The 20,651-nt window shown below is 56.0% G+C and overlaps 1 protein-coding gene across 2 annotated transcripts, besides 8 other annotated features; it reads right to left on the bottom strand.

Annotated features, from left to right (window-relative positions):
* MAP4K2 (mitogen-activated protein kinase kinase kinase kinase 2) lies at window positions 2,150–20,446 on the bottom strand. Of its 2 annotated transcripts, none has more exons than NM_001307990.2 (32): window positions 20,286–20,446; window positions 20,117–20,174; window positions 19,795–19,885; window positions 19,651–19,715; window positions 19,298–19,353; window positions 18,942–18,989; window positions 18,811–18,853; window positions 18,343–18,415; window positions 18,132–18,263; window positions 17,996–18,058; window positions 17,543–17,624; window positions 17,341–17,448; window positions 16,837–16,915; window positions 16,653–16,711; window positions 16,026–16,069; window positions 14,858–14,896; window positions 14,733–14,766; window positions 14,507–14,612; window positions 14,336–14,400; window positions 14,214–14,255; window positions 14,041–14,125; window positions 13,866–13,945; window positions 13,725–13,785; window positions 13,505–13,622; window positions 9,596–9,654; window positions 9,404–9,507; window positions 9,141–9,318; window positions 7,626–7,694; window positions 7,420–7,506; window positions 7,121–7,191; window positions 6,962–7,017; window positions 2,150–6,856 (listed from the first exon to the last, which is right to left on the bottom strand). In NM_001307990.2, exons 1-32 carry the CDS (start codon window positions 20,379–20,381, stop codon window positions 6,769–6,771), a joined length of 2,439 nt encoding a protein of 812 aa, NP_001294919.1. In that variant the 5' UTR covers window positions 20,382–20,446; the 3' UTR covers window positions 2,150–6,768. The 2 variants fall into 2 exon arrangements, with proteins under 2 accessions (NP_001294919.1, NP_004570.2); NM_004579.5 differs by having other exon boundaries at window positions 14,336–14,424.
* Window positions 7,241–7,742: an enhancer, noted in NCBI's record as "H3K4me1 hESC enhancer chr11:64557481-64557982 (GRCh37/hg19 assembly coordinates)". NCBI's record gives its function as "activates a minimal SCP1, AML or CMV promoter by ChIP-STARR-seq in naive H9 embryonic stem cells {active_cell/tissue: H9 hESC(naive)}" and the evidence as "EXISTENCE:reporter gene assay evidence [ECO:0000049][PMID:30033119]".
* Window positions 13,389–13,683: a silencer, noted in NCBI's record as "tiled region #11124; K562 Repressive non-DNase unmatched - State 7:EnhWF". NCBI's record gives its function as "represses a minimal TATA promoter and a strong SV40 promoter by Sharpr-MPRA in K562 cells {active_cell/tissue: K562}" and the evidence as "EXISTENCE:reporter gene assay evidence [ECO:0000049][PMID:27701403]".
* Window positions 15,156–15,356: a silencer, noted in NCBI's record as "peak1298 fragment used in MPRA reporter construct". NCBI's record gives its function as "represses an SCP1 promoter by STARR-seq MPRAs in K562 erythroleukemia cells {active_cell/tissue: K562}" and the evidence as "EXISTENCE:reporter gene assay evidence [ECO:0000049][PMID:32103011]".
* Window positions 17,009–17,303: a silencer, noted in NCBI's record as "tiled region #2965; K562 Repressive non-DNase unmatched - State 14:Gen5'". NCBI's record gives its function as "represses a minimal TATA promoter and a strong SV40 promoter by Sharpr-MPRA in K562 cells {active_cell/tissue: K562}" and the evidence as "EXISTENCE:reporter gene assay evidence [ECO:0000049][PMID:27701403]".
* Window positions 18,376–18,425: an enhancer, noted in NCBI's record as "active region_4916". NCBI's record gives its function as "activates an Ori minimal core promoter by ATAC-STARR-seq in GM12878 lymphoblastoid cells {active_cell/tissue: GM12878}" and the evidence as "EXISTENCE:reporter gene assay evidence [ECO:0000049][PMID:35858748]".
* Window positions 18,516–18,565: an enhancer, noted in NCBI's record as "active region_4917". NCBI's record gives its function as "activates an Ori minimal core promoter by ATAC-STARR-seq in GM12878 lymphoblastoid cells {active_cell/tissue: GM12878}" and the evidence as "EXISTENCE:reporter gene assay evidence [ECO:0000049][PMID:35858748]".
* Window positions 20,076–20,255: a silencer, noted in NCBI's record as "silent region_3490". NCBI's record gives its function as "represses an Ori minimal core promoter by ATAC-STARR-seq in GM12878 lymphoblastoid cells {active_cell/tissue: GM12878}" and the evidence as "EXISTENCE:reporter gene assay evidence [ECO:0000049][PMID:35858748]".
* Window positions 20,406–20,585: a silencer, noted in NCBI's record as "silent region_3491". NCBI's record gives its function as "represses an Ori minimal core promoter by ATAC-STARR-seq in GM12878 lymphoblastoid cells {active_cell/tissue: GM12878}" and the evidence as "EXISTENCE:reporter gene assay evidence [ECO:0000049][PMID:35858748]".

Consider the following 20,651-nt stretch of genomic DNA (forward strand, 5'->3'; position numbering starts at 1 on the left):
AAACCCCATACAGATGTGTGCATGTTTGCATATGATTATCTGAGCATAACAAAGGCTACAGAAGGATACACAGCACATGCTCTATTGCAGAGTGAAATGGGCGGCTGGAAGTTGCCCAACACATCTTAAACATCCAACTTTTTTTTTTTTTTTTCTTATGAGATGGAGTCTTGCTCTGTCACCCAGACCAGAGTGCAGTGGCATGATCTTGGCTCACTGCAACCTCCTCCTCCTGGGTTCAAGCGATTCTCGTGACTCAGCCTCCAGAGTAGCTCGGATTACAGGCATGCGCCACCATGCTTGGCTAATTTTTGTATTTTTAGTAGAGACGGGGTTTCACCATGTTGGCCAGGCTGGTCTCAAACTCCTGATCTCAAGTGATTCGCCCGCCTCAGCCTCCCAAAGTGCTGGGATTACAGGCGTGAGCCACCAAACCCAGCCTAAAAATCCAAAGTTAAAAAAAAAATGCTTCATACGCTTAACAAATGTATTACATGATTCCATTTTTGCAACATTATATAACTATAGGCATTGAGAAATGCACCAAGGGCTGGGTGCAGTGGCTCACACTTGTAATCTCAGCACTTTGGGAAGGCAAGGCAGGAGGATTGCTTGAGGCCAGGAGTTCGAAACCAGCCTGGGCAACATAGGGAGAATGTCTCTACAGAAACAAAAATAATAATAATCAGCTGAGCGTGATGTGTGCCTGTAGTTCCAGCTACTTGGGAGGCTGAGGCAGGAGGATTGTTTGACCCCAAAGAGTTTGAGGCTGCAATAAGCTGTGATCACACCACTGCACTGAAGCCTGAGTGACAGAGGGAGACCCTGTCTCAAAAAAAAAAAAAAAAAAAAAAAAAAAAGGCTGGGTGCGGTGGCTCACACCTGTAATCCCAGCACTTTGGGAGGCCGAGGCAGGCAGATCATGAGGTCAGGAGATTGAGACCATCCTGGCTAACACGGTGAAACCCCATCTCTACTAAAAATACAAAAAAAAAAATAGCTGAGTGTGGTGGCAGGTGCCTGTAGTCCCAGCTACTCAGGAGGCTGAGGCAGGAGAATGGCGTGAACCCGGGAGGCAGAGCTTGCAGTGAGCTGAGATCACGCCACTGTACTCCAGCCTGGGCAACAGAGCGAGACTCCGTCTCAAAAAATAAAAAATAAAAAATACATTGAGGTGGCTCACATCTATAATCCCAACTACTCAGAAGGCTGAAGTGGGATCACTCAAGGCCAGGAATTCAAGACCAGCCTGGGCAACATGGGTAGACCTCTGTCTCTACAAAAAATAAAAAATTAGTTGGGTATGGTAGTGTGAGCCTGTAGTCTCAGCTACTCATGAGGACTGAGGTGGGAGGATGGCTTGAGCCCCAGAGGCAGGGGTGGCAGTGAGTGGAGGTGACACCACTGCACTCCAGCCTGGGTGACAGAATGAGAACCCATCTCAAAAAACAAAAAAAGGCTGGGCACAGTATTTCACACCTGTAATCGCAACACTTTTGGAGGCCAAGGCAGGCAGATCACTTGAGACCAGGAGTTCAAAACCAGCCTGTCCAACATGGAGAAACCCCATCTCTACTAAAAAGACAAAAATTAGCCGGGTGTACTGGTGCACACCTGAAGTCCTAGCTACTCAGGAGGCTGAGGCAGGAGAATCACCTGAACCCGTGAGGCAGAGGTTGCAGTGAGCCGAGATCGCATCACTGCACTCCAGTCAGGGCAACAGAGCAAGACTCCAATCTCAAAAGAAAAAGAAAAACAGAAAAAGATGCGGCCGGGCGCAGTGGCTCACACCTGTAATCCCAGCACTTTGGGAGGCCGAGGCAGGCAGATCACCTGAGGTCAGGAGTTCAAGACCAGTCTGCCCAACATGGCAAAACCCCATCTCTACTCAAAATACAAAAATTAGCCAGGCATGCCTGTAATCCCAGCTACTCAGGCGGCTGAGGCAGGAAAATCACTTGAACCCAGGAAGGCGGAGGTTGTAGTGAGCCAAGATCAGGCCACTGCACTCCAGCCTAGGTGACAGAGTGAGACTCCGTCTCAAAAAAAAAAAAAAAAATTAAACGACACTTAACTGTGAGTCAGCCCTTCCACTCCAAACTATTTACCCACAAGAAATGATAGAATATATCCAACAAAGACAGGTACATGAATGTTTATAGCAGCTTTATTTGTAATAGTTCACAACGGAACATGGTCCAAATGTCCATCAACAGGTGAACAGCTAACCAAACTGGTGCATCCAAACAATGGAATACTACTTGGCAATAAAAAGGAATAAAATATTAATGCATGCAACAGGGATGACTCGCAAATCCTTATGCTCAGCTAAGCAAGAAGCCAGACAAAACACAAGTACATACTGTGTGATTCTATTTACATACATTCTAGAAAGTGCAGATTAACCTGTAGTGACAGAAAGCAGCACAGTTGTTACTTGGGGATGGGAGGCAAGAAGCAGGAGGGTGGGCTTACCAAGGGCATGGGAAACTTTCCAGAGTGAAGGGGATGGTGATTATCTTGATTGTGGAAATAGCTTCACGGGTGTACACGTATGTCAAAAGTCATCACGTACACATTTTTATATGCAGCTTATTGTATGCCAATTATGCCTCAATAAAACTGTCTTTCAACAATACACACTAGAAGGCAGCAACTGCAAAGTGGCAATTCCAGAGTTCTGTGCAGGACGCTGCAGTGATTCCGCCCCACTTGTTTTCACCATCTAGGGAAACGTCCTCTTCGTTTTTGGTCTTGTCTTTCAAGCGAGTTCTATTTTTTCGGTGATTACTTTTAAATATTTTTTAAAAATTTTTTTCCTTTTTTTTTTTTTCTTTTTGAGACAGGTTCTCACTCTGTCACCCAGGCTGGAGTGCAGTGGCAAGTTCATAGCTCACTGCAGCCTTGAACTCCTAGGCTCAAGCAATCCTCCCACCTTAGCCTCCAGAGTAGCTGGGACTGCAGGCGAGTGCCACCATGTCCAGCTAATTTGTGTATCTTTTGTAGAGACAGGGTTTTGTCATGTTGCCCAGGCTGGTCTAGAACTCCTGGGTTCAAGTGATCTGCCTGCCTCAGTTTCCCAAAGTGCTGGGATTACAGACATGAACCACCATGCCCAAACTAAAATTTTATGACATAATATTTGATACATACAAAAGGATGTGTGGCACCTTATGTGAGTTAGGAACTGAGTTATAACTTAAATACCCATGAACCTACCACCAAACCTGAGAGCTAAGATATTACCAATACCTTTAAAAATTCCTGGGCTCCTTCCTTATCCCATCCCACACTCCTCTCAGGGACGACCATCTCAGATTTTGTGCTTTTCCTTCCCATGATTTTTTAATAGGGTTGTATCTTGGGCATGTATTGCTAAACAATAGATGGTTTCATTTTGTTTTTGAGCTTTATAATATGCTATCGTACTGTGCATAAAGTGCTGTTTTAATTTACCTCTAAGAGTCATCTATGTTATTGCATTATGTCTGTTACAGTATTTCTGATCCTCCTGACAGCCCTGCAGTTGGCTTTGGATATGGTAAACCTAAGGAAAGTAAAGCTCAGCGAGCTGGGGTGGCTCACCCAGTCCAAGGGCAGATTGCAGGGACTCCTCTTCACCACATCTTGTCCATTCCCTTACTCGTGAGGGTCTCCTGAGCACTGGTAGTGAGCAGGTGCTGGACATGCCACAGGGAACACGGCAGATCCTCCGCCGTCCCGAAGCACACATCATGGTGCTCCCCTTGACTTTCACCAGGATGACTCCGGGTATGGGCCAGTTACCTGAACATCCTGGGGGGGCCCACGTCCCTTCTACTTGTCCTCAAGAATGACTTAAAGAGTCTGGTCTGACCCTCCCACAGGTTTCTGCCCATGGAGGGGCAACTGGACAGCAGCTATCACCACGGCATATGTAGCCACCGCTAACTCATTAATGCTGCTTCCAGGAACTTATCTTCTAGAAGTGCTTGAATATGTACAGAGGGGCACTAGCCTAATAATATTTATTGCAGCATTGTTTGTAATATAAAAGTAGTAAAAACAACTCAAATTTCCACCAATAGGGATCTCACTGCAGGTCATTAACATTTGTTATGGGAAACATACACAATGGAATACCACTAGCTGTAAAAAAAAAAAAATTTTTTTTTAAAGGGAGATCTTTAACGCAAAACTCTCCAGGATATATACATATCTTTTCAGGGTGCATGTGATAATTTAATACATTCATATTCTCCAGGATATATATATATTTTTTTCTCTTTTTTTTTTTTTTGAGACGGAGTCTTGCACTGTCGCCCAGGCTGGAGTGCAGTGGCATGTTCTAGGCTCACTGCAACCTCCGCCTCCCAGGTTCAAGCGATTCTCCTGCCTCAGCCTCCCGAGTAGCTGGGATTACAGGCACTCGCCACCATGCCCAGCTAATTTTTTGTATTTTTAGTAGAGACGGGGTTTCACCATGTTGGCCAGGCTGGTCTCGAACCCCTGACCTCGTGATTCGCCCGCCTCGGCCTCCCAAAGTGCTTGGATTACAGGTGTGAGCCACCACACCTGGCCCCCCAGGATATATTTTTAAAGGGCAAGGTCAGTACAGTATGTGGAATATGTTAATACGTATATAAAAAATCGCCAAGAATAAAATATACCAAATTGCTTAAATACGCAAAATACTTCTAGAAGGGTTCATAAGTAACTGAGACCAGGGTGGCTGGGGACGGGGTAAGAGGGAGACTTCATTATATCTCTGCTGTATTTAAAAAAATATGTACCATGGGCAAAGGTTACGCATTTAAAAATACATAAATAAAATTTAAAGTGTTAGTCTCTCAGTGCATATTCCCTGGTTTCTCGGCCTTTCTTTGCTCTTGGCCTGCCTTTGCTGGCAGCAAGCGTTTTATGGGAGGCCCCCACTTTGGCAGTTTACACTCTGCAGTCCAAACCCCGTTTCCAGACTGAATCTGAGGTCCGGGAAGATCCGCCACAAGGAGGCACTGTCTGCTGCTGGCCGGTTGGTGAACGGAAAGCCAGTCCTCCCCAGGGCGCCTTTGGTCAGGGCCTTTGCTGAGCAGGAGCTCACCTCCCTGTCCCCACTTACCCCACCCTGGTCCCAACATTCCTCCGAGAAATCTGGAAAATTGGAAGTTAGGAATTCACTTTGTATCCCTGTTACCACCGACCCCAATTTGGAAGGTGCCCCTCACCCTCCTTGGGGCTCACGGGAACATGGGTGTGAATGCCTGGTGTGAAGAGATGTGTTCCCTCCCCTGGGCTGGCTCCCCATTCCAGCCAAGAAACCCTCCCAGTCACTGGACAGAGTCAGAACAGTTGAAACTCTGCTGGAGGGTGGCTGAGGGGACAGTGTGACACCCTGGGAACCACTGAGCCTACTCGCATGGCTGCCATCCACCTACCACGTCACTCCGCAAGTCTTTATTGCCACCCACCAGGTGCAAAGGTCTTCCTCCAACACCTGCCTTGAATGTAGGGGTGACCATGGGGCCTTTGCTCCAGCTGTTCCCCCCACCCTGCCCCCACCTTCCCAGCCCCCCAGCTGTGGGCCCTCAAGGCAGTTCCCATCCTGCCTCCTGGGCTGCAGCTGCCCAAAGGCTCCAGTCAAGAGCGGCTGATCAGTGCCTGGGGCAAAAGAGGATGCCCAGCCCTGGGGGCCCTGGCATTCAGAGCTGAGCAGACAGACCCTTGGAGAATGACAGCGTAAGCACAAGCTACAGGAGAATGGCCATGCCCTCAAGATGCAGGCTCCAGCAAGGAGGACGCCCTCCCTGGGGGCTGGTCTGTTTCTGGTAGTGACCCCAGGGCCTGGCACTGAGGCAGCCCTTGGGAGTCTGGTAGACGGACACAGGCTAGCCTTCCCATCCAATCTGATGATCGTGCTGTCATCTGATGTTCCTGGTCTAACACCTAGGCAGTAGGTGGAGGCAGGGGATACAGGTCACACAGGCTACCTCCATGGGCAGCAGCCTCCATGGGAATGGAGGGAACAGCCCTCTGGGGGCTCCTCCTGGGCCCTTCCAGGGGTCACCCAGTGAGATCCTACGTGGGGCAAGGGTGCCCTGGATGAGAGTCCCTTTGTTGAGGTCCCCCCATCTGCATGAGTCCTTGGGGTGCTAAACTACAGCAGAGCCCTCAAACTGCAAAGCTGAGGGTCAGTTCTGAGCAAGGATGCAGGGGAAGGCACAGTGCCCCTAGAAGGCTGCTGGGGGCCATGGCCTCCTGTCACCTCTACCTGGCTTCTCCAAAACCCTGGGGGCCCTGCCCTTCTGTGGTGCCCACAGAAACGTGTGTTGGAGGGAAGGAGGCGGGAGATGAGGTGGGTTCACTCCCCCTACCCAGAGGGACCAGAGGACTAAAACAAACCAGCTTTAATACCAATATAGTTCTCTCTTAAATACCGTGTTTCCCAGGACAAATGCAGGGGCAGGCTCTTGGCAGAAAGAGTAGAAAGGAAATGTGGAACAAAATGGAATGGATGGCCCAGGCCCAGGGTCCCTGCCTTGGGCACTAGGGACTGGGCTGCCTCGGGGATGGGGGAGTGACAGCAGCTCCCCCTGGTCCAGTTATTGCAGAGGCGTCGGGGGCTCCCCTCCCTCCCCAGGCCTGAAACATTTCTCAGGATTACTTCTGACCTTCAGCCCCAGCAGGGCCAGGGCCTGGGCTCCTCTGGTCTAGGATGGGCCCCTTTGCCCAAAAGGGCCTGCAGCTAAGGCGTGGGGTGGGGCGGGGAGCCCCTGGACAGGCCCGCTGCTCTTAGTAGGTGCTCTGGTGGCCCGTGAGGATGTAGAGGTTGCTGTGCGCCTCTGGGTTGTCAGTGGGAATGCTCTCCAGGATGATGTCTCTGGAGGAGAGAGGAGTAGGGGGCAGGGCGGGAGACACTTGGTACATCAGCCCCTTCTCTGGCCTCAGGGGCATCTGAAGGGGAGGCTAGGGTACCACCGCCTACCTGTGGGCCCCAAGCACTCGGAAGATCCTTGTTTCATCTGTGATCTCCTGGGTCACCTGGGAAGACAGGTGGGAAGCACTGAGGCCACTCCAGTAGGTCCTTTCCAAAGAGGTAGGGACCACAAGGCAGGGGACAGCAAGGTCCCTGGGCCCCACTCACCTCATTGGTATCCAGGCTTCGGCCTTGCATCCCATGGCTCCAGAAGGCCAGCACACTGTCCTGCAGGCACACTATGGGGGCCAGGCCACCATCAGCCCTGCACCCATCTTGGCACCCCCTCAGCCACGCCTGAGCCTGGGTCTGGGCCACAGGGGTCCTCACTGACCTCAGGTGACCAGGATGGCTCAGGAGAGGGGCTAGGGGATCTGCCTCCTCATCCTACCGCCAGCCCCAGGCCCCTGAGCAACAACGTGCTCCAGGCCAGGGAAAGGCCTGCACCCCACCTCTGGCTCACTCACCCACAGTCTCGATGGGGAAATCAAAGGTCAGCTCAGGTGCCAGTGTGGCCGTGGGCTCGCCCTGCATGTTGACAATCCTCACACAGCCTGCACAGGGAAGGAATTGGTGAGTGGGGACGGGGAGGCTCCCTTCTGGGAAGGCAGACCCACGTGGTCGCCTTACCTCCATAGTCCCCTGCCCTAAGCCCTGCCCCCAGGGCACTCACGTTCAAAGCTGACTAGGATTGTGTCCCTGTCCACCTGGATCACCTGCTGGGCCGAGCCTGGGATCCCCTCTGCAGGCAGAGAAGAGAGACATGGCCTGGCTGAGCCACCAGTCCCCCAACCCCAAGAGGATACGGGGGCCAGGCTACAGACAGCCCTTGGCCATGAGGGCACGTCAGCCTCACAACAGCCCTGTGGGGCTGGGAAACCTCATCTCCCTCCAGGGCTGGGAACTGAGGCTCTGAGAGGATGAGTGACCCGTCCTAGGGCTCATGGGGAGTGGAGGAGGAGTCACGGGGAGCCACGGGAGGGCTCCAGGTTTAAGGGGACCAGGCCTCGTGACCCAGTCACTGTGTGACCTGGTACAAATCACTTTACCTCTCGGAGCCTCTGTTTCCTCATAACACAGACAAGATGGCACTGCCTTGAGAGGCTATCATGAGGATCAGGAATAAAATCCTGGGCTGGGCGCAGTGGCTCACACCTGTAATCCCAGCACTGTGGGAGGCCGAAGCGGGTGGATCACCTGAGATCAGGTGTTGGAGACCAGCCTGGCCAACATGGCGAAACCCCATTTCTACTAATAATACAAAACGTAGCCGGACGTGGTGGCACATGCTTGTAATCCCAGCTACTCGGGAGGCTGAGGCAAGAGAATAGCTTGAACCCACGAGGCAGAGGTTGCAGTGAGCCGAGATCGTGCCATTGCACTCCAGCCTGGGCAACAGAGCAAGACTCTGTCTCAAAAAATAAAAAAATAAATAAAGAATAAAATCCTGTGTGTGAGACCCCTGGCTCAGGGCCTGGCACCAGGTGCCTTAACTACGTGCGCCCTCCTTTCTCCCTTACCCATCACTGCTCATTATCACCCCAAGCTGCCACAACACCTGGAGTCCTGCTTCCTGGCTGAGAATGGGGCCTCTAGGCCCTGCCTTGCCAGATCTGCCTCTTCCCTGCAGCCCGGAGCAATGTTGACCAGTTTTTGTTTTTGTTTTTGTTTTTTGTTTTGAGATAGGGTCTCACTCTGTCACCCAGGCTGGAGTGCAGTGGCGCGAACATGGCTCACAACTGCCTCTGTCTCCCAGGCTCAAGTGATCCTCCCACCTCAGCCCAAGTAGCTGGGACTACACACGTGCATCAACATGCCCAGCTAATTTTTTGTAGAGTCAGGGTCTCGCCATGTTGTCCAGGCTGGTCTCAAACTCATGAGCTCAAGCCCCTCTCTCTCCTTGGCCTCCCAAAATGCTGGGATTACAGGCGTGAGCCACTGTGCCCGGCCTGGCCAGGATTTTCTTAGCTGCCAAGCCCTTCCGTCTAATGAACCCTTTTATGGAAGCCCAGGTGAAGCTTGTTGAAGGGAGGCTGTGGGCCCCAGACCCCACATGGCAGCCCTCAAGGTCTCTGTGGAGCCACTGGCTGTGGGGAGCCTAGTTTGGGAGCCTTGGCCCTCCCTGCCTCCCTCCCTCGGTCTCTCATGCACACACACCCACCCCCAGCAGCCTGGCCCTTCTGCTCACCAGGTGGGATGAGGATGTCGGGCGTCAGGCCAGCCTCCAGGGGCAGGACATGGAACAGGACGCGGCAGCCGGGCCCCTCAGGCCCCTCGGCCCCAACACACACCTGCGGCAGCTCCTTCCCATCCAGCACCAGCGGCTCCAGCATCCCAGCTGGGCTGGGCAGAGGGCTGGAGAAGTTCTAGGGGGCAGCAGGGATGCTCAGGTCTCCATTTCTCCCCCCAGAGCTCTGAGGGTGCCCTGGGCCTCCCCCCACCGCCCCTCACCTTCAGCAGCAGAAACTTCTGCAGCGGCTCATACCACTGCAGCAGGAGCAGGCTGGTGGGCAGGGCGGCCAGCAGGAAGGTGGCACCCGTGTAGGGGTTCCGCACTGGCAGGGGAGCAGGCAGTGGGCACCGGGCTGGGCCTGCGCTGCCCCCCACCAGGCCCCGCCCCACCCCGCCCAGCCCATTTCTTACCCACACGACACTGCAAGCAGCCTTTGGTGTCAGGAATCTTGGTGGACAGAGCAAAGCGCCTGTAGGGGTGATAACCAGGGCCTGTGTCTGGGATGCCATCCATGGGCAAGGCCCCTGCAGAGCCCTATGAGGTGGGCACTATCAGCTTCCCTCTTTACAAGTAAGGGACTGAGACTCAGAGACACAGAGTAACTTGCCCCAAGAACAGCTGGGAAAGGTGGAGGATCTGAAGCCAGTCTCCCAGCCCTGAAGCCAGGAGGGAGTGTCTCCATCCAGGCCAGGGGTTTGGGTCTCAGGATTGCTTCTAGCTCTGTGTGACTCCAGGCAAGCCACTTAATCTCTCCATGCCTCAGTTTCGTCATCTGTAGATTGGGGATAATGGCGGGCCCCACCCCAGAGAGTCACAGTGAAGGCTTCATGAGTTAATACAGGGGAGGTGCTCTCGGCAGTGCTGGGAATCGTGTGTGCTCACAGAGGGCCAGCTCCTATCATCCCATATTAGGACTTTCCACCTATTTTGAGTCACTGAAAGTCCTTGTCAGGTAAAGGCAGGGTATAAAGAAAGAAATGATGCCAGGTGCAACGGCTCACGCCTGTAATCCCAGCACTCTGGGAGGTCGAGGTAGGCAGATCACCCGAGGTCGGGAGTTCGAGACCAGCCTGACCAACATAGAGAAACCCTGTCTCTACTAAAAATACAAAATTAGCCAGGCGTGGTGGCGCGTGCCTGTAATCCCAGCTACTTGGGAGGCTGAGGCAGGAGAATTGCTTGAACCCAGGAGGCGGAGGTTGCAGTGAGCCGAGATTGTGCCATCGGACTCCAGCCCGGGCAATGAGAGTGAAACTCGGTCTCAAAAAAAAAGAAAAAGAAAAAAGGAATGAAGAAATGAGAGCATGGAGGGGCTGGGGAGGATGCAGGCTCCAGCCCCACCAGGTTGCACAGACTGCACACGGCCCATTTCACAGATGGGAAAACAGGCCCGGGGCAGTGAATGAACTTCAAAAGGCAAATGGCCTGCCCTCTGCTTCTCCAGCAGAGGCAACAGCCCTGTGGGGCCAGGGGGTGGCTTGCCTTGCTGTCGGGGTAGAAGTAGTGAGGAAAAGTTATCAGAGGGGCCGTTGCCTTGGCCACTGAGTGTCCCCTAACCCTCCAGGGGACCCTCTCAGCCTGTTTCTTCCTCTGGGGAATGGGGCTTCCTGTCAGCAGCCCTGCCACCTCCACCCAGTGGCCCATGTCCTGTTTGTACCTTCTGCCAGGACATGGAGGAAGCCAATGTCTGTCTCTCACTGTCCCTGGTCCTCGTCCCTCCCTCTCCCCACATTCCTCCCACTCTCCTCCCCATCTGGTCTTTGGATGGGACAAAAGCATATATTTTGTATTTGTTTTTTCTCCAAACAACTCCAGTTCTCTGTTCTTTGCATTCAAAGTGCTCACTGTGCCTCTGCCATTTCCCGAACACAAGCTCAAAGCTGCCTGTGACCTGTTGGGGCTCTGATGGGCCTGTTTCCTGTAGGTCCTGCGCCAAAGCAGACTCACTTGGGGACTGAGCTCAGGAAGCCCCAAGGCCACCGGGCTCCAGATGTGGTCCTGGAGTGAGCACGTTGCAGGAAGGGGGCTCCTGAGCTCCCCAGCTGTTGCAGCCACTGGCCTGGCCTCCCCTACCCTCTGCACTCAGTCCACTGCTTCCCACACCACCCACCTGGTCATGACAATGTCGGGGGCCCATAGCCCAGGGCCCCTCCCTTCAGAGCCCAGCCCCACCAAGCCATGGACTGACGCAGGTCCCACTTGCACATCTAATAAGCATGTTCATGCAACAAAATTGAATTCAGCTCCCCCTGAAACTGCTCCACCTTCAGCTGATGACAGCTGCATTCTTCCTGACACCCAGGCCAAAAACCTTGGAGCCATCCTTGACTCCTCTTTCTCTTTCATCAGGAAATCCTACTGGCTCAACTTGCAAAAGAGAATCAGAATCTGACTGTTTTTCTCTTCTGTTTTTCTTTTTTTTTTGAGACGGAGTCTTGCTCTGTTGCCCAGGCTGGAGTGCAATGGTGCGATCTCGGCTCATTGCAACCTCCGCCTCCCAGGTTCAAGCTATTCTCCTGCCTCAGCCTCCCGAGTAGCTGGGATTACAGGCGCCCGCCACCATGCCCGGCTAATTTTTGTATTTTTACTAGGGACGGGGTTTCGCCATGTTGACCAGGCTGGTCTCGAACTCCTGACTCAGTTGATCCACTCGCCAAAGCCTCCCAAAGTGCGGGATTACAGGCGTGAGCCACTGTGCCTGGCCCCCAGGCAAACTCTTAACAGCTCCCCAGCTCACCAGGCTGCTCCGCCCCAACACATACTAACATATACTTGCTCTTCCCCCTGCCTGGAGTGCCATTCCCTACCTCACCTGCCTAGAAACCCTGACACACTTTCGAACCTCCCAAGCTTGCCCGGTCTCTGAGGCCTCTCCACACCTCCCAGCTCTCCCTCTAACTGGACCTCAGTACCGGCTGCTAACTGTCCACATTTCCCTTTTTCTTTTTTTTGAGACAAGGTCTTGCTCTGTTGCCCAGGCTTCAATGCAGTGGTACGATCGCGATCACAGTTCACTTCAACCTCAACCTCCTGGGTTCAAGCAATCCTCCCACCTCAGCCTCCTGAGTGGCTGGGACCACCAACACACAACGCCATGCCTACATCACCATGCTCAGCTAAGTTTTCGATTTTTTTTTTTTTTTTTTTTGAGATGCAGTCTCACTCTGTCGCCCTGGCTGGAGTGCAGTGGTGCAATCTCCACTCACTGCAACCTCTGCCTCTAGGGTTCAAGTGATTCTTCTGCCTCAGCCTCCCGAGTAGCTGGGACTACAGGTGCGCACCACTACACCCAGCTAATTTTTGTATTTTCAGTAGAGACGGGGTTTCACCATATTAGCCAGGCTGGTCGTAAACTCCTGACCTCATGATCCGCCCACCTCGGCCTCTCAAAGTGCTAGGATTATAGGCCTGAGCCACTGCGCCTGGCCCCATTTTTTGATTTTTTGGGCTTTTTTTCTTTCTTTTTTGAGACAGACTCTTGCTGTCGGCCAGGCTGGAGTGCAGTGGCGTGATCCCGGCTCACTGCAACCTCTGCCTCTCAGGTTCAAGCGATTCTCCTGTCTCAGCCTCCCGAGTAGCTGGGACTACAGGCATGTGCCACCACGCCCGGCTAATTTTTTTTGTATTTTTAGTACAGACGGGGTTTCACTATGTTAGCCAGGATAGTCTCCATCTCCTGACCTCGTGATCCATCCGCCTTGGCCTCCCAAAGTGCTGGGATTACAGGCGTGAGCCCCCCCGCCCAGACTTTTTTGATTTTTTGTAGAGACAAGGTCTCCCTGTGTTTTCAGGCTGATTTCAAACACATGGCCTCACACAATCCTTCTGCCTCGGATTACAGGATTGGGATTACAGGCATGAACCACCACACCCAGCCCCGCTGTTTCTTGAAAGCAAGGACTCATGGGAATCCTTGAAAGCAAGGACTCATGGGAATCCTTGAAAGCAAGGACTTGCCCATCTCCCCCATTTCTTGAAAGCGAGGACTCATGGGATTCTCCATGTCCCGAAGCCCAGCATAGGGGCCAACATAGCATAAGTGCTCAGTAAACGTTTGCTTAACTGTCAAGCCCCACATCCGAACAACCACAGCTCCTACAACTTGGAAAGCACTTTCACATCCACTGTCTCCTTCTTGCCTCCCAACAAGCCGGCGGGAGGGGGTGGGAAGGCCATCAATTGTATTGACAGAGGAGGAAACGGGCGCTCAGAGAGACAACACGTCTAAGATTGCTGCAATCCCAGGAACTGGCAAGGCCATGTTCCAGCCCCTCCCTGCCCCTCTGCCTCCCGCTCCCTGCACGCCCAAGATCCCTGACCTGGGGATGATGCGCTGGGTGAGGCGGTTGGTGGGGATGGAGAGGGGAACCTGTTGCTGTAGCCTCCGCTGCTCAAACAGGCCTGGGAGGTCATGGGCCCAGATGTGCGTGGATTTCCCTGCAGAAACAGGAAGAGGCCAGGCCTGGGGTGTTGGTGGGCAGGATGCTGAGGCGCTGGAGCCCCTGCGGACCCTGCCTCCCTGCCCATCCCACCTTGTACCTGAGAGTGACAGCAGCACGTTGTTCACGCAGTAGAGCCAGGAGCAGCGATGTGAAATCAGCTGGAGGCCACAGAGGGACAGATGGTCAGCACCCCAGGCCCCCACAAGGCCTCTGCCCCCCACAGCCAGCCGGGCCTCACCTTCTCCAGCGTATCCTCATGCAGTTCATGCAGGTTGAGTGTGTAGATGCCTTCCTCGGCCCCTACCACCAGGAACTGGTCTGCCAGTTTGGGCATGGGGTCAGAGGTCAGACATGGCCCCTGGCCCAAGCTGAGGGATTCCTTGGGCTCCCGCTTCCTCCCTGCCCCCACCTACCCCGAGTAACAGGGTGAATCCAGGTGACAGCAGCGTGGATCCGCAGGGGGCAGCCATTGAAGACCTTGGAGAAGCAGGCGCCCATCTGCAGAGGAGGCAAGAGGCTGGCGAGGGAGTGCAGGGGTGGTGGGTGGCAGGGCTGTGGGACTGCAGGGCTTGGGGCAAACACTTACATGCACCTTGGGAGTTGGGGGGAGCCCGTGGCAGGATGACCTCTGGGAGGGAGGAAAGGAGTCAGGGCTGATATGACAGCTGTAGCCGCCCGTCTCCCCACCCCACTGTAGCACCCTCTTACCTCAGGATCCTCCCGCTGCTTCATGGTGGCCCAGGCCGTGGGCAGCAGTGGGGAGCTGTTGGGGCCTGAAGGAGGTGGGGGCAGGGTTCCTGCAGGCACAGGCGTGCTGTAATTTCCTGCTGTAGCCCCCACCCTGGGGCTGCCTCCTGGCCTCCCAAGCCTGAGACTCACCTGGGGGACTGGACAGAGGCTCCTCTGCTGGAGGGTCAGTGGGGAGTGGCCCTAGGAACGGGGCCCGCTTGATGGTTCCCATGGTATCGTCTGGGGAGTCCAGCTCCTGGTAGGAGGGGCAGGGCCCAGCCCGGCCGTTACCAGGTTGCCCTGTAACCACATCCCACTCCAATCGTACCCTCTGCAGTGGCCTGGATCCCAGCTCCAGCCTCCCTCTGTGTGGCACCTGGAATTCTGAGGCTGACCGAATAGTCAGACTCCTGTGGGAGGGAGATGAGGCGTGAGGCATGAGGTGTGACTGGCACCAAGGCCACCTGCCCCTTGCCCCTCCCCCAGGCCCACATCCCTCACCTTTCCTCCAGGGCCTCCTGGACCGACTGCAGCAGGCTCCTGGGCAGTGGGGAAAAGGGGTCAGAGGTCAACCTTTCCTTTTTTTTTTTTTTTTTTTTGAGACGGAGTCTCGCTCTGTCACCCAGGCCGGAGTGCAGTGGCGCAATCGCGGCTCACTGCAAGCTCCGCCCCCCAAGTTCACGCCATTCTCCTGCCTCAGCCTCCCAAGTAGCTGGGACTACAGGCGCCCGCCACCGCACCCGGCTAATTTTTTGTATTTTTAGTACAGAGGGGGTTTCACCGTGTTAGCCAGGATGGTTTCGATCTCCTGCCCTTGTGATCCGCCCACCTCGGCCTCCCAAAGTGCTCAGATTACAGGCATGAGCCACACCCGGGCTTTTTTTTTTTTTTTTAAGACAGAGTTTCATTCTTGTCACCCAGGCTGGCGTGCAATGGCAAGATATCGGCTCACTGCAACCTCTGCCTCCCAGATTCTCCTACCTCAGCCACCCTAGTAGCTGGGATTACAGGCGTGGGCCACCATGCCCAGCTAACTTTTGTTTGTTTATTTATTTATCTGAGATGGAGTCTCGCTCTGTTGCCCAGGCTGGAGTGCAGTGGTGCAGTCTCAGCTCACCGCAACCTCCGCCTCCCGGGTTCAAGCGATTCTCCTGTCTTAGCCTCCTGAGTAGCTGGGATTACAGGCGCCTGCCACCACACCGGCTAATTTTTTCTATTTTTACTAGAGACGGGCTTTCACCATGTTGGCCAGGCTGGTCTCAAACTCCTGACCTTGGGATCCGCCCACCTCGGCCTCCCAAAGTGCTGGGATTACAGGCGTAAGCCACCACAGCCAGCCTAATTTTTGTATTTTAAGTAGAGATGGGGTTTCACCATGTTGGCAAAGCTGGTTTCGAACTCCTGACCTCAGGTGATCCACCCACCTTAGCCTCCCAAAGTGCTGGGATTACAGGCATGAGCCACCCGCCCAGCCTAATTTTTGTATTTTAAGTAGAGGTGGAGTTTCACCATGTTGGCAAAGCTGGTCTTGAACTCCTGACCTCAGGTGATCCACCCACCTCAGCCTCCTAAAGTGCTGGGATTACAGGCATGAGCCACCACGCCCGGTCAGAGGTCAGCCTTTCTGCCGCCCCTGCCACCCCCTGCAGCTTCCCCATACCTCACTTACCCACTCAACTCTTCCTTTCCCAGTAGTGTCCACTCTTCCTCCCACTGGGGGAAACCAAGGTAGAGACCGGGGAAGAAGCAGAGACAGATGCAACGTGAGAGGGCGCTCAAGAGATTCAGGAAAGGAAAGACAGACAGACAGACAGACGGGAAAGGTGAGATGGAAACACACAGAAGATGAGAGAGACAGACAGTGGGAGGCAGAGCTGAAGACTGTGAAAGAAAGGGCAACAGACAGCGAGGGAGGAAGAGACAGGCTGGGGGGTGAGGAGAGACCAGTGACAGAGCCGATGAGGGCAGAGACAGAAAGTCAGACCACTGGGGACACACAGGTGGGAAAACGAGGCTGAGCAGGGTAGGGTGAGGGCTCAGGCACATGACGGCCTCCTTTTGGGAAAGGCATGGTCTCTGTGCTACCTTCCAGACACCCACCTAAAAGAACTTGGCCCAGGAAGGAGCCCCTAACCCTCCAGGTCCCTGGGTAGGACAGGCTTGCTTGGACAGTCTAAGGCCCAAGGCCCGAGGCCACCCAGCTTCAAATCTCCCTTGATTTGAGCTGCTCGGCCTCCATCCGACCTCCCTGCCCCACCTCTGGGCACCACCTTCCCCTCAAGGCCTGCCCACTCACCGGCTCATTCAGTGGGTCAGTTTCCTTCCTGCGTGGGGCGCCAAATTTCACCTGGTGAACTGGGGGGCCCAGAGTACAAGAGTGAAGGAGCTGGAGTCTCAGGATGGACCTCTACTCACACCAAATCCATGTGCACACAGGCCCCCCAAAATCTGCACACACACAGCCCCTGCTGCAGACTCACACTGGATCTCCGAGGGGGTCCTCTCGGCTGGGCCGTGCTGCCCCCGGGAGTGAATGGTGTCTGGAAACATGTCATAGGTCTAAGGAAAAACAGAAACAGTGTGGACACACCTGGCACGCGCCTCATGCCGGGGCTGCTCTAGGAGCTTCACACGCACCAGTGCGTTTTGCTTTCATGACAGCCCTCTGGGACTACTGTAAAATAAAATGGAACCCCACTTCACAGATGAGAGAACCCACACAGAGCAGTGCCAAAGATCACACAGAAAGCAAGAAAATGGCACAGTCGTGGTCATGGTCAGCTTGGACTCAAGGGCAGGGACCTATCAAGGGGGTGGTACAGGAAACAAAAGTCAGCATGACAGAGACTCCTAATGGGAGGGCTCAGCTGAGGCCAGCTCCCTGAGCTGGAATGGTGCCAGTTAAAGGACCTCCACCAACATCACCCTCGGGCTCTTTCTAAGCAGACCAGCCCAAGACTCACTTTCCAGCCCCCCTCACCTACCTCCAGCTCACAGTCCTCAGGGGAGGGGGTCCCCAGATGAGGGTCACTGGCTTTGTCCAGCAGCTGTGTGAGGAGGGCCCGAGGGAGCTGCTGAGTCGTGAACGGGTGCTGGAAAGTGGGGGAGGGGGGTGATCAGGTTGGCCCCTGATCCAGGGCCCTGCTTTTGAGTACTGGGCCTCTCTCCCGGCCCCCTGCCTCCCACCTGCAGGAGCTTCTCTGCTGTCGGCCTCTTCTTAGGATTCTTGGTCAGGGCCAGTTTGAGAAAGTGGTGGAAATTCTGGGTCCTAGAAGGCACAAGAGCCCCCCAGCGCCAGATCCAGGTTAGCCCTCGTGCAGGGTGTCCTGCCAGCTGCCCTACCACCCCTCCAGAGGCGTCTGCTGGGCCCACCCAGGAAGGAGCCAGCCGAGGCCAAGGGCCACTGGCCGAGCAACGCTGCCTTGCGACACAGCGGCTCCTCCACCAACCCTCTGCCCTTCTTTCCTGACCACGCTGGGTCTTCAACCCACAGAAGGACCAGGCCCCTGACTCAGATGGTCTGTAGTAGCCCAGAAAGGACAGGGCTCTTGGGGTTGCCCCCCGGGAGTTGGCAGAGGCTGTTTGTCCACTATGGGGCTGACAGAAAAGGGGGTCCCGGCAGCAGGGTGTGGCCCTTACCAGCGAGTCTTATCTCTCAGTTTGGGCGGCTGGAAGCTGCTCTTCGACATGAGCATCAGGGCCCTGTGGAGGGCGCGAGGTCAGGGGCCACAGGCCGCAGATCAAGGGTCAGGTGAGGGGCAAGTGTTGGGCTGACCTCATGGGGTGCAGGTGGAACAGAGGGGGCTGCAGCTCGCCCAGCTCAATGGCAGTGATGCCCAGGGCCCAGACGTCACATAGCTCATTGTAGCCACCTTTGCGCTCCACAGCAGCCACCTCGGGAGCCATCCTAGAGGTGGGGTCACAGATGGGATGGCCGGGTGCCCTGCTCTGTGGCCCCTACCCCTCCGCCCCAGGCGCAGCCTCACCAGTAGGGAGTCCCAATGAAAGACCTCCTCTTGGCCACAGACGCTGTCAGCTCGCCTGACACCCCAAAGTCAGCTGTGGGGAGAAACAGCCACTCTCACCAGCCCTCTGGCTGCCACTCACCCTCCCACGCCCAGGGCTCTGGCTCGGCTGCACCTGGCAGGGCTCAGACGGGCAGGTGGCCCCGCTTGGTCACAGCTGCCGCAGGCCCTAGGCAAGGCCAGGTCCCTCTCCTGAGAGGGGTCAACCACCCTCTATCCCTGACGGAGTGCCTGGTCCCATGTCAACTCCGTGCAGACCCAACCTCCTCTATTTTCCAGCAGGGAGGGAGTACCGTTCCATCTTCTAAGCAGGGAAACTGAGACTCAAGTGGCAAAGTGACTTGCCCAGTGACACCCAACCCTTGAGTCCAGGGTAGCCGGGGAGGGTCCACAGAGCCCTCACCCTGATGGTGTCCCCAGGGTACTGACCCAGTTTGACATCTCCCTGGAGAGTGAGGAGAAGGTTGGCTCCCTGTGGGAATGGAGGAGAGACAATCCCATCTGGTGCCCCCGAGGGCCTCCTCCTCCCTCCCCAGGAGTGCCCCCAGCTAGGTGCCTACCTTGATGTCTCTGTGGATCTTCCCCTGAGAATGCAGGTGGTGGAGCCCCTGGCGACAAAGAGGAGTCCCTGAGAGCAGCCACCCAGCACTGTCCCACCTCCCCAAACCCCCTCTCAGGACTGGGGCCCCCCACTCAGGCTGCTTCTTCCTCCCCTCTCCCCAAACAGGAAGTGACTGAGCCAAGAGGGAAATGGACTGCTTCCGGCAACAGGGCTGGGGCCCCTTTTCCCCAGGACCTACAGCCCCTCGGGCCAGCCCCACCCGAGGCACTCCACCCGCCTCCCTGCTGGTCATCTGGGCTCCTGGCCCACAGCTTCTGGAGACCAGAGGTGTGGGCACCTCACAGGCCCAGCTACCTTCAGTGCCTCTCGGCAGACGTAGGCAATCTGCCGCTCCTCCAGGGGCCCAGTGGCTGAAAGGAAAAGGGAGAGGCTGGCTTGGGGGCCCGGGGGTCATGCCCACCCTCCCAGGCTACCGTGTGTGGGAAAAGCAGCAGGCACTGTTAAATGAAAGCGGTGTTGGCCACGTCCCCTCCCAGTTTAGTCTAGGATACTGAACCCAGAGATGGACAGTATTTCTCTCAAGGTCACACAGCCAGGCAGGAGTGGAGAGGAGCCCAAGTCCAGGGCCCAGAGTCCCCTCTGGTACCCCAGTGGGGTAGGGGTGGGGGAAGGCTGGGGCCTGCTGGGGCCTGGAGCCCTGGCCTCACCATGGTAAATCTCCTGCAGGGAGCCCCCTCCGCAGAACTCCATGCAGATCCACAAGCGGTCATTCCTAGGGACAAAGAGCTGGGGTGGGCACAAAGCAGGTCACATGGGGGCTGCCTGGGGCCAGGAGGATAAGGCAGCCTCACCTGAGGTAGCTGCCAATGTAGGCCACCACATTGGGGTGGCGGCACTCACGCAGGATGGTGATTTCCTGCTGGAGGGAGCTGATGTCGTCCCCTGGGAAGCACAAAGCATCATGGGGAAGGCGCGCTGGGGTTGCCCTGACTCAGTGCCCCCATCTGCAAAATGGGCACAGAGTGCCTCCCTCCGGGCCAGGCAGGTGCAGGTGACAGCACCTCCCGGGGCACGCCTCTCAGGGGTCTCGGAAACGTCAACCCTCCGCCCGCACCCCGCGCCCGCGGGCGCTCTGCCCTTCCTCTGGCGCAGAGGCCCGACCCGGGCCCTCACCTGGGTCTAGCTTGACTATCTTCACGGCGGCCAGTTCGGACGTGACCGTGTCGCGGGCCTGCAGGGGCGGAGGGTGAAGCGGGATGGGGGGCGGGGCCGGGGGCTAGATCCTGCCGCGGGGTGCGGGGCTGGCACCCTCCTCCCGGCTCTCCCGCCCGTCCCGTCGCACCTTGTAGACGTCGCCATAGGTCCCGGCCCCCACGCGCTGCAGCAGCTCGAAGCGGTCCCGCGGGTCCTGCAGCGACACATCCCGCAGCAGCGCCATGGCCCGGCGCCGGGCGGGCCGGCAGGCGGGCGGGCGCGAGCTGCGGAGCCGGCGCGGGGCGGCGCGGGGCGGGGCGGGCGCCCGTGGCTCTGAGGCCGCGGGGGCGGGGCTGAGGCCCGGGGGCGGGGCCGCGCCGGGGATGCCCCACCGCCAGTCCGGGAGGAGGCGCCCGCGGGACGGGCCCTCGGCGGCGCGGGGAAGCCCCAAGGCCGGGGCGGAGCCTACGTCCTTCCGCCGCCACTGTCGCTCGCGCTCCACAGGTAGGGAGCG

The sequence above is a fragment of the Homo sapiens genome, chromosome 11, assembly GCF_000001405.40.
Source record: "Homo sapiens chromosome 11, GRCh38.p14 Primary Assembly".
NCBI classification, from domain to species: Eukaryota; Metazoa; Chordata; class Mammalia; order Primates; family Hominidae; genus Homo; species Homo sapiens.